General features: G+C 37.7%; 1 protein-coding gene and 1 pseudogene across 18 annotated transcripts in view; both read right to left on the minus strand.

Moving 5' to 3' along the window:
* The window catches only part of DENND5B (DENN domain containing 5B), a 208,911-nt gene that overhangs the window by 150,738 nt on the left and 45,839 nt on the right, over positions 1 to 12,334 (minus strand). Inside the window, exon 2 of one of the 18 annotated variants that reach the window (XM_047428420.1) lies at positions 7,957 to 8,068. The exons of 16 other annotated variants lie outside the window; for them this stretch is intronic. The gene's annotated coding sequence lies outside the window, so the exon portion shown is untranslated. Of the gene's footprint in view, positions 1 to 7,956; positions 8,257 to 12,334 lie in introns of those variants that run through there. One more of the 18 variants, XM_047428419.1, reaches the window with a different exon arrangement.
* On the minus strand, positions 1,752 to 2,284 carry ANKRD49P2 (ANKRD49 pseudogene 2; annotated as a pseudogene).

Raw genomic sequence — 12,334 nt, forward strand, 5'->3', positions numbered from 1 at the left:
AATTTGTAGGCATCGGTTTTCTGAGGCTTATTTCATTGACTTGGACTACATCACCTGCAGTTCTTTCCTAAGCTTTGGAGACTAAGAGCTTGCACAAGTCATTGGATAATCATCCTTTTGATCTGATTAAAGAAACTACATGTAAATAAGCTCACATTAAATATTGTGAGCTATTAAATATTGTTAAAATATGAATGCTTAAATTTGCCCTCCTATTACAGCAGGCTCTCCAAATCCACAGTTCTGCATCTGAAGATATGACCAACTGTGGATTGAAAATATTTGAAGAAAAAAAAACAATTTAAAAAGCCAATACAACAACAAAAAATACAGTACAACAAATAAAAAATACAGTACATGCTATTTACATGGCATTTACATTGTATTAGCTATTGTAAGTAATCTAGAAATCATTTTTGTTGTTAAAACTTATACTTTATTTTCTTGAATGTTTATATTATGCTTTTTGTCACTATCCATACTGTTTTTAAGCCTGAGCCACTGTGTGGTTTCAGCCTCAATATAATAATCATCCCCTCACTTTTAGAATTCCTTTTCCCTTATCACTTTGCTTTGTAAGGTTTCTATAAAACAAAGACCTTGGAAAATCAACATTTCCTGTGAACTCAAGAGATTATGTAAGCAGTGCCCAAATCAGCAGGATTAGGCAGGTAAAAGCAGTTGGATGGCAGATACACTATGATCTCTTTGACCACAATGTAGTTGTATGCATGTCTAAAAGGTCATACTGATTCACCATTAGAATAAAGATCACATGTAGGTTGACCAGGGAGGACTATCCACAGAATTGTGTGAACTGTGGTAGGGGAGGCAGTATACAACATTCATGGATGAAACACCTAGCTAACTGCTTTCCTAAAAATTATCTATTGTCTAAAAGACAAACATCTAGGCTTTTTAGTGTTTTTTTTTTTTCCTTTAACTTATGAAGATTCAAGTCACTAATATGTTAGTTCTTCTGGTTTAAAATGAAAGTAACTGGCTATGGTAATGTAGAGAAGACAGATGACTGCATCAATATTTAAGACTTAAATTTTGAGTTACCTCACCTTATAAAAATATATATCAATATACTAAATACTCAACAAAGATCCAGGATGTACAGTATTTAAAAATACATTTCTCTTGGATCAGCACCAAAAATAATCAGTTTCTGTTCAACTTGTGTCAAGTTTTTTTTTTGTCGGTTTTTTGAGGCTGAGTCTCACTTTGTGGCCCAGGCTGGAGTGCAGTGGTGCGATCTCGGCTTACTGCAACCTCTGCCTTCCAGGTTCAAGCGATTCTCATGCCTCAGCCTCCCAAGTAGCTGGGATTACAGACATGTGCCACGATACTCAGCTTTTTATTTTTATTTTTACTTTTATTTTGTATTTTTAGTAGAGACAGGGTTTCACCATGTTGGCCAGGCTGGTCTCGAACTCCTGACCTCAAGTGATCTGCCTGCCTCGGCCTCCCAAAGTCATGTCAAGTTTTTAGGTCTAGGCAAGTTAAAATTATCTCTGATAAAAATCACGAGCTCCACAAAAATAATTAAAGATATATCCAAACATCTTTCAAATACATTCTGATATCAGGTCAGGCATTTCACTTTAAAGAACATAATAGTAACTACCTTACCACTGAATTTTTGTAGTAAGACGTTTTAAATCAACTTTGTCTTATGGGAATATTTTATATCTTGCACGAAGGAGCCACTGGTACTTAGACACCTAAAATTACTAGAACCATTAAGACTGAGGTGAAGAATTTGTATAGCCTTCCACCATTACAAAGAAGGAGTGATAGATACTTGTCCTCCTGGCAATATCAAATGCCGTTTCTTTGAAGTTGTTTTTCAGCCCTGGTTTGATGTAATGGTTCATCAGGAGGAGTTCTAGGTTATCTTTGCTGTCTCCTTTCCCAGCAGCAAGATGCAAAGGGGTCAAGAGGCTTTGGTTTGATTAACTGGGTGTGGCGGCGTGTGCCTGTAGTCCCAGCTACTTGGGAGGCTGAGGCAGGAAGATAGCTTGAACCTGGGAGGTGGAGGTTGCAGTGAGCGCAGATTGCACCACTGCACCCAAGCCTGGGTGACAGAGCAAGACTCTGTCTCAAAAAAAAAAAAAAAAAAAAAAAAAAAAAGGCTTTTGTTTGGGCATTGATATCTGCATCACACTGAGGTAAGAAAGAAGCCACTCTGGTACCACTTGCAAGTACTGTGCAGGGGTGTCCAGCCATCCGCCATCACTGCATGAACATCTGCCTCTTGTGCTATCAGCTCAGGGACCTAAGTGTCCACTGCAGGCTACTTAATGAACACTAGGGATAAAGATATACTCATGGCTTCCAGTCTGACCCAGCACAGTCCCAGTGGTGGTAGCCACAGGGGTGACTCTGTCACCCCACCCCACCTCCAGGTGAATTAGCACAGAGAAAGAGAGAGAGAGAGACACACACACACACACACATATATACACATACACACACACACACACTCTGACTCAGTTTGTCTGGGAGAAAGTAAGCGAAGAGAACCAGAGTCTCTGCCTGGTAATCCAGAGAATTCATCCAGGTCTTATCCGAAACTACCAAGGTGGTAACTCTACAAATCCGCAAGAACCACAGGTTACTGGGCTTGGGATGCCCCCTAAGGCAGACACGGCTTAGATCTCAATACCCAAGTTCAAATACCTGGAAAGCCTTCCTAAGAAGAGTGGGTAAAAAAAAAGTCTAGACTGCAAAGACTACAGTAAATACCTGACTCTTCAATGCCCAGACACCAACAAACATCCGCAAGTATCAAGACCATCCAGGAAAACATGACCTCACCAAATGAACTAAACAAGGTAGCAAGGACCAATCTTGGAGAAACAGAGATATGTGACTGATATGGTTTGAATCTGTATCCCCACCAAATATCATGTCAAATTATAATCTCCAATGTTGGAGGTGGGGCCTGGTGGGAGGCGACTGGATCATGAGGGTGGTCCTTGACGAATGGTTTAGAGCCATCCCCTCGGTACTGTTCCTCCTGATAGTGAGTTATCGCAAGATCTGGTTGTTTAGAAGTGTGTAGCAGCTCTCCGCCCCTCTTCCTCCTGCTTCTAATCATGTGAGACGTCTTGCTCCCACTTTGACTTCCACCATGATTCTAAGTTTCCTGAGGCACCCCCAGAAGTCGAGCAGATGTCAGAATCACGTTACCTGTACAGCCTGTGGAAACATAGGCCAATTAAACCTCTTTTATTTATAAATTTCCCAGTCTCAGATATTTATAGCAATGCGAGAATGGACTAATACAGTGACCTTTCAGACAGAGAATTCAAATAGCTGTTTTGAGAAAACTCAACAAAATTCAAGATAACACGGAGAAGGAGTTCAGAATTCTATCAGAAAAATTTAACAAAGAGATTTAAATAATTAAAAAAGAACTACGCAGAAATTCTGGAGTTGAAATATGCAACTGACATATTGAAGAATGCATCAGAGTTTTTTAATAGCAGAAGGATCAAGCAGAAGAAAGATTTAGTGAGCCTGAAGACAGACTATTTGAAAATACAGTCAGAGGAGACACAAGAAAAAAGAGTAAGAATGAAGTACACCTACAAGATCTAGAAAATAGCCTCAAAAGGGCAAACCTAAGAGTTACTGGTCTTCAGGAGGAGGCAGAAAAAGAGATAGGAATAGAAGATGTATTTAAAAAAAAAAGTTTATTCAAAGAAATAATAGCAGAAACCTAGGAAAGGTTATCAATATCCAAATATAAGAAGATTACAGAACACCAAGCAGATTTAACCCAAAGAAAGCTATCTCAAGCCATTTCATAATCAAATTCCCAAAGGTCAAGGATAAAGAAAGAATCCTAAAAGCAGCAACAGAAAAGAAACAATATACAACTGAACTCCAATACATTTGGCAGCAGATTTTCAGTGGAATCCTTACAGGCCAGAAGAGAGTTGCATAACATATTTAAAGTGCTGAAGGAAAAAAACTTTTACCCCAGAATAATTTATCTGGCTAAAATATACTTCAAACATAGAGAAATAAAGACTTTCCCAGACAAACAAACACTGAGGGATTTCATCAACACCAGATCTAGCCTAGAAGAAATGCTAACAGGTGTACTTCAATCAGAAAGAAAAGGACACTAATGAGCATTAAGAAATTATCTCAAGGTACAAAACTCACTGGTAACAGTAATTATATAGAGAAACACAGAATAACACTGTAACTGTGGTGTGTAAATTACTCTTATTTTAAGTAGACTAAAAGATAAATCAAAAATAACTACAACAACTTTTCAAGACACAGACAGTACAATAAGATATAAATAAAAACAACAAAAAGTTAGAAAGCAGGGGGATGAAGTTAAGGTGTAGAGTTTTTATTAGTTTTCTTTTTGCTTGTGTGTTTATGAAAACAGTGTTAGGCTATCAGTGTAAAATAATAGGTTATAAGATAGTATTTGCAAGCATCATGGTAACCTCTAATCAAAAAACATACAACAGATACGCTGAAAATAAAAAATAAGAAATTAAAATCATACCACCAGAGAAGATTACCTTCACTAAAAGGAAGACAGGGAGGAAGGATGGAAGACAAGACCCATAAAACAACCAGAAAATAAGTAACAAAATGGAAGGAATAAGCCCTTGCTCATCAATAACAACACTGAATGTAAATGGACTACATTCTCCAATAAAAAGACAGAGTGGCTGAAGGGATTAAAAAAACAAAAAACAAAAAAACAAGACTCAGTGATCTGTTGCCTACAAGAAGCACATTTCACCTACAAAGACACACATAGACTGAAAATAAAAGGATGGAAAAACACATTCCATGACAATGGAAATCAAAAAAGACTAGGAGTAGCTATACGTATATCAGACGAAATAGATTTCAAGACAAAAACTATAAGAAGAGACAAAGAAGGTCACTATATAATGATAAAGGGGGCAATTCAGCAAGAAGATGTAACAATTGTAATTGTATATGGACCCAACACTGGATCCATATACCAGTGTTGGAGCACCCAGATACATAAAGCAAATATTGTTACAGCTAAAAAGAGAGACAGACCCCAATATAATAATAGCTGGTAACTTCAACATCCCATTTTCAGCGTTGGACAGATCTTCCAGAGAGAAAATCAATGAACATCAGACTTAATCTGTACCAAATGGACCTAATCAGACCAAATGGACCTAATAGATACATACATAACATTTCATCCCAAAGCTGCAGAGTACACATTCTTTTTCCTCAGCACATGGATCATTCTCAAGGATGGACCATATGTTATGTCACAAAACAAGTCTTAAAACATTTAAAAAAACTGAAATAATATAAAGCATCTTCTCTGACCACAATAGAATAAAACTAGAGATCAATAATAAGTGGAATTATTGAAAATTTTCTTGAAATAAATGATAAAGGAAACACAACATACGAAAAGCTATGGGATACAACAAAAGCAGTACTGAGAGGCAAGTTTATAGCTATAAGTGCCTACATCAAAAAAGAAAAAAACCTCAAATAAACAACTATTTAATGATGTATATTAAAGAACTAGAAAAGCAAGAGCAAACCAAACCCCAAATTAGTAGAAGAAATAATAAAAATCAGGCCAGGCGCAGTGGCTCACGCCTGTAATCCCAGTACTTTGGGAGGCTGAGACAGGTGGATCACTTGATGTCAGGAGTTCAAGACAAGCCTGGACAACTTGGTGAAACCCCATCTCTACTAAAAATACAAAAAAATTAGCCGGGCATGGTGGTGTGCACCTGTAATCTCAGTTACTCGGGAGGCTGAGGCAGGAGGATAGCTTGAACCTGGGAGGTGGAGGTTGTAGTGAGCCGAGATTGTGCCACTGCACTCCAGGGTGGGCAACAGAGTGAGATTTCATCTCAAAATACAAAACAAAACAAAAAATAAAGATCAGAGCAGAAATAAGTGAAACTGAAACAAAAAAAATACAAAACTTCAATGAAACAAAAGGTTTTTTTTTTTTTGAAAAAAAAAATTGACAAACTGCTAGACAGACTAAGAAAAAGAGAAGACACAACTAAGTAAAACCAGAGATAAAGAAGGAAACATTCAACTGATACCACAGAAATTCAAAGGATCATTAGTGGCTGCTATGATCAACTATATGCCAATAAATGAGAAAATCTAGAGAAAATGGATAAATTCCTAGATACTACAACCTACCATGATTGAACCATGAAGAAATCCAAAACCTGAACAAACCAATAACAAGCAACAACATCAAAGCCATAATAAAAAATCTCCCAGTAAAGAAAAGCCTGGGACCTGATGGCTTCACTACAGAAGTCTACCAAACATTTAAAGAACGAATACCAATCCTACTCAAACTATTCTGAAAACTAGAGGAGGAGGGAATAATTCCAAACTCACTCTATGAGGCCTGTATACCAAAATCAAAGACATATTACATATTAAAAGAAAAAAAATTACAGACCAATATCACTGATGAAAATTGATGCAAAAATCCTCAACAAAATACTAGCAAACCAAATTCAACAACACATTAAAAAGATCATTCATCATGACTAAATAGGATTTATCCCAGGGATGCAAGGATAGTTCAACATATGCAAATCAATCAATCTGATATATCATCATATCAACAAAATGAAGAACAAAAACCATATGATCATTTCAATGGATGCTTAAAAAGCACTTGATAACATTCAACATCCCTTCATAATAAAAACCTTAAAAAAACTTGGTATAGAAGAAACATATCTTAATATAATTACACCATATATGACAGACTCTCAGCTAGTATCATACTGATGAGGAAAAAAAAAAACCTTTCCTCTGAGATCTGGAATACAACAAGGATATCCACTTTCACCACTGTTATTCAACACGGTACTAGAAGTCCTAGCTAGAGCAATCAGACAAGAGAAAGATATAAAGGGTATCCAAATTGGAAAGGAAGGAGTCAAGTTATCCTTGTTTGCAGATGATATGATCTCGTATTTGGAAAAACCTAAAGACTCCACCAAAAAACTATTAGAACTCATACAAAATCAGTAAAGCTGCAGGATACAAAATCAACCTACAAAAATCTAGCATTTCTATAGGCCAATAGCAAACAATCTAAAAAAGAAATCAAGAAAGTAATCCCATTTACAATAACTACAAATAAAATTAAATACCTAGGAACTAACCAAATAAGTGAAAAGTCCCTACAATGAAAACTAAAACACTGGAGCAAGAAATTGAAAAGGACACAAAAAACTGGAAAGACATTCCATATTCATGGGTTGGAAAACTCAATATTGTTAAAATGCCCATTCTCCCCAAAGCAATCTACAGATTTCATGCAATCCCTATAAAAATACCAATAATGTTCTTCACAAAAGTAGAAAAAACAATTCTAGGCCAGGCGTGATGCCTCATGCCTGCAATCCCAGTGCTTTGGGAGGCCAAGGTGGGCAGATCACTTGAGGCCAAGAGTTCCAGACCAGCCTGGCCAACATGGTAAGACATCGTCTCTACTAAAAATACAAAAATTAGCCAGGTGAGGTGGCGACTACCTGTAATCCTAGCTACTCAGGAGGCTGAGGCACAAGAATCGCTTGAACCTGGGAGGCAGAGGTTGTAGTGAGCCAAGACTGTGCCACTGCACTCCAGCCTGGGCGACACAGTCAGACTCTGTCCCGCCCCCCAACCCCCCCACCAAAAAAAAAAGAAAAGAAGAGAAAAAAACAAACCTAAAATTTACATGGAACCACAAAAGACCCAGAATAGCCAAAGCTATCCTGAGGAAAAAAACAAAACGAGGAATTTTATTACCTGACTTCAAATTATACTACAGTTAGAGTAACCAAAACAGGATGATACTGGCATAAAAACAGACACATTAGACCAGTGAAACAGTCTAATAAAGAATGCAGAAATAAATCCACACATTTACAGTGAACTCACTTTAGACAAAGGTGCCGAGAACATACAATGGAGAAAGGACAGTCTCTTCAGTCAATGGTGCTGGGAAAACTGGATATCTTTACGCAGAAGAATGAAGGTTGACCCCGTATCTCTTACCATATAAAAAAAAAATCAAATGAAAATGGGTTAAAAACTTAAATTTAAGACCTCAAACTATGAAACTACTAAAAGAAAACATTGGGGAACCTCTCCAGAACACTGGAGTGGGCAAGGATTTCTTGAGTAATACCCCACAAGCACAGGCAACCAAAGCAAAAATGGACAAATGGGATCACATCAAGTTAAAAACCTTCTGCACAGCAAAGGAAACTATCAACAAGAGACAACCCAAAGAATGGGAGAAAATATTTTGAAACTACCCATCTGGCAAGGGATTAATATCCAAAATACATAAGGAAGCTCATGCAACTCTACAGGAAAAAAAATCTAATCATCCAATCAAAAATGGGCAAAATATCTGAATAGACATTTCTCAAAAGACATACAAATGGCAAACAGGTATACGAAAAGCTGCTCAACATCACTATCAGAGGAATGCAAATCAAAACTACAATGAGATATAATCTCATCCCAGTTAAAATGGCTTTTATACAAAGACAGGCAATAATAAATGCTGGCAAGGATGTGGAGAAAGGGGAACCCTTGTAGACAGCTGGTGGGAATGTAAATTAGTACAACCACTATGGAGAACAGTTTGGAGGTTCCTCAAAAAACTAAAAATAGAGCTACCATATGATCCAGTGATCCCACTCCTAGGTATATACCCAAAATAAAGGAAATCAGTATATCGAAGCGATATCTGCACTTCCACGTTTATTACAGCACTATTCACAATAGCTAAGATTTGGAAGCAACCTAAGTGTCCATCAACAGATGAATGGATAAAGAAAATGTGGTACTTATACATAATGGAGCACTATTCAGCCATAAAAAGAATGAGATCCTGTTGTCTGCAACACCGTGGATTGAACTGGAAGTCATTATGTTAAGTGAAATAAGCCAGACACAGAAAGACAAACTTCACATGTTTTCACTTATTTGTGGGAGCTAAAAATTAAAACAACTGGTCAGGCACATTGGCTCACGCCTGTAATCCCAGCACTTTGGGAGGCCAAAACGGGCAGATCACAAGGTCAGGAGTTCAAGACCAGTCTGGCCAATACGGTGAAACCCTGTCTCTACTAAAAATACAAAAAAATTAGCTGGGCGTGGTGGTGGGCACTTGTAGTCCCAGCTACTCAGGAGGCTGAGGCAGGAGAATCACTTGAACCTGGGAGGTGGAGGTTGCAGTGAGCCGAGATCGCACCACTGCACTCCAGCCTGGGCAACAGAGCGAGACTCCGTCTCAAAAAAAAAAAAAAAAAATTAAAACAATTGAACTCATGAACATAGAAAGTAGAAGGATAGTTACCAGAGGCTGAGAAGGGTAGAAGGTAGGATGGGGGAAAGTGGGAATGGTTAATGGGCACAAAAAAACAGAATGAATAAGACCTAGTATTTGCTAGCACAACAGGGTGACTATAGGAAAAAAATAATGTAATTGTACATTTTAAAATAATTAAGAGTATAACTGGATTGTTTGTAACACAAATGATAAATGCTTGAGGGGATGGATACCTCATCTTCCATGATGGGATTATTATGCATTGAATGCATGTATAAAAATATCTCATGTAACCCATAAATATATACATCTGCTATGTATCCACAAAAATTAAAATTTTTTAAAAATGGGTAGGGCACGGTGGCTCATGCCTGTAATCCCAACACTTTGGGAGGCCAAAACGGGTGGATTCTTTGAGCCCAGGAGTTTGAGACCAGCATGAGCAACATAGCAAAACCCCATCTCTATGAAAAAATATAAAAATTACCTCAGTGTGGTGGCATGCAACTGCAGTCCCAGCAACTCAGGAAGCTGAGGTGGAGGGTGGCTTGAGCCTGGGAGGTGGAAGTTGCAGGGAGCCAAGACTGTGCCACCATTACTCCAGCCTGGGCGACAGAGCCAGACCCTGTCTCAAATAAGTAAATGGTACTGAAAAAAATGTTGTAGTGAGACAAAAAAGGTTTTTTTGGTAGACAACACTTAAATCTCTACAAAAAATACAAAAACTAGCCAGGCATGGTAGCCCATGCCTGTAGTCCCAACTACCTGGGAGGCTCAGTAGGCTAAGGCAGGAGGATCCCTTGACTCCAGGAGGTTGAGGCTACAGTGAGCGTTGACCGGGCCACTGCACTCCAGCTTTGGTGACAAAGTGAGACTTTGTCTCAAAAAACAAGAGAGATTTCATACCAAATGGTTCATAAAGATGCAAAACTGCTACGTAGAGTTTCCATATGTTTTGTAACAGAAAATGTTAGGAGTAAGATGATGTGTGTGGTATCACTCCTTACACTCCAAGTCATTAGCTTGCTTCTTTGACAGTACCTGCTACTAAGATCTGACTTTTTATAAAAGTAATTTATGCTCCTTGCTTGTCAGCATAGATACCTTTTCAAAGTTTTTATAAGGTAAGTGACTTATAAAATTTTATCTGGAAAAAAACCCACTAGGCTGTTACGGAAGTTTAAGATCAAACATACTGTGCTACCATTTTGAAAAAAGGTGAGAAATTAGAAAAAGGTTAGTCCTATTAGAAATTCTCTTATAACGTTATGACAATCATCAAAAGTATAGCAGCATACAAACAAGTTGCTAGGAAAAAAAGAGAAAGCCCACAGACACTAGTATATGTAATTACTTAGCATGTAATAAAAGGAAAATTAGAAAACAGAAAGGGAATGTTTATTCAATAAACACAGACTGGAACATGTGGCTGGTTTTTGAAAAATAATCTACTCAGATCCTTACCCTACAGCAAAATAAATTCCAAGTATATCACATCTCTATCTACTCTCTATCCATAAGATACAAACAACATATAAAAAGTGATTTAAATTTACTAAATATGGCCGGCACAATGGCTCACGCCTGTAATTCCAGCACTTTGGGAGGCCAGCCAGATCACTTGAGGTCAGGAGTTTGAGACCAGCCTGGCCAACATGGTGAAAACCTGTCTCTACTAAAAATACAAAAACTAGTCAGGCATGGTGGCACAAGCCTGTATTCCCAGCTATTCAGGAGGCTGAGGCACAAGAATCGCTTGAACCTGAGAGGCAGAAGTTGCAGTGAGCTGAGATTGTACCACTGCACTCCAGCCTGGGCAACAGAGTGAGACTCCATCTCAAAATTAATGAATGAATTAATTAAATATGTAATAAGTAACTTTAATACACATTAAAATACATTTTAAAAGTTAATTCATAAAAATATTTTAGAAGATATTATCAATGTCACATTTTTAATTTTAATTTTTATTTTTGAGACAGGGTTTCACTCTGTCACCCATGCTGCAGTGCAGTGGCACAAGCACAGCTCACTGTAGCCTCAACCTCCAGGGCTCAAGCAATCCTCCTGCCTCAGCCTTCCAAGCAGATGGAATTGCTGGCATGTGCCTCCACATCCAGCTAATTTTTATTATTTTATTTGTAGAGACGGGGTCTCCCTGTATTGCCCAGGCTGGTCTCGAGGTCCTGGGCTCAAGTGATCCTCCCACCTCAGTCTCCCAAAGTGTTGGGATTAGAAGTGTGAACCACCATGCCCAGCCAATAACTATCAAATCTATGAATATGAATAGAGTGAAACTGAAATTACAATGAAATAAAAAGGAAAATATTAATTCAACTACAAAAAAAATTTAAATCTCCTGTGCATCAAAAGGAACACCACCAAAAGTGGAAAGGCAAGAATAAACTAATGAAAATATCTACAGCTTGAGACAATCAGACATTATGCCCTCCTGATAGGATGCACTATGAACTATATAAAACCACTAATAAAATATTTATTCTTTCCCCCAAAGAATGTTGAACCTGAATCTAATTAAGACTTTAGAGGAAAGTTCTTAAGAAATCCAGGAGATAGAGCAACAAGTTAACCACCAAGAAATAGACAATAAACAAAGAATCCAAAATATGGGACATTCTACAGGGAAAATAACCTAGTTTCTTGAAAAAATCAAAAGCATAAAAACAAAGGGAAGGGGAATCAGTTTTTAGACAATCGCCCCCACCACAGACACACAGAAGCTTCTCAGTCCATTCATAATAAACTAAAAAGTCCTTATCAGAGCCAGAGCCTACATCCTTGGGATTTTATCCTGTGAAAAAGAATCCAAAAAAACTAAAAAATTCACGTACAAAAAGATGATGTTAGCAGCATGTTTTTTCATTTCCTTTCCTATTTATCTATTTTTATTTCTTTTTCCAACTTTTATTTTAGATACAGGGGGTACAGGTGCAGGTTTGCTATTTGGGTATA

This window comes from Homo sapiens, chromosome 12 (genome assembly GCF_000001405.40).
Source record: "Homo sapiens chromosome 12, GRCh38.p14 Primary Assembly".
NCBI lineage: Eukaryota > Metazoa > Chordata > Mammalia > Primates > Hominidae > Homo > Homo sapiens.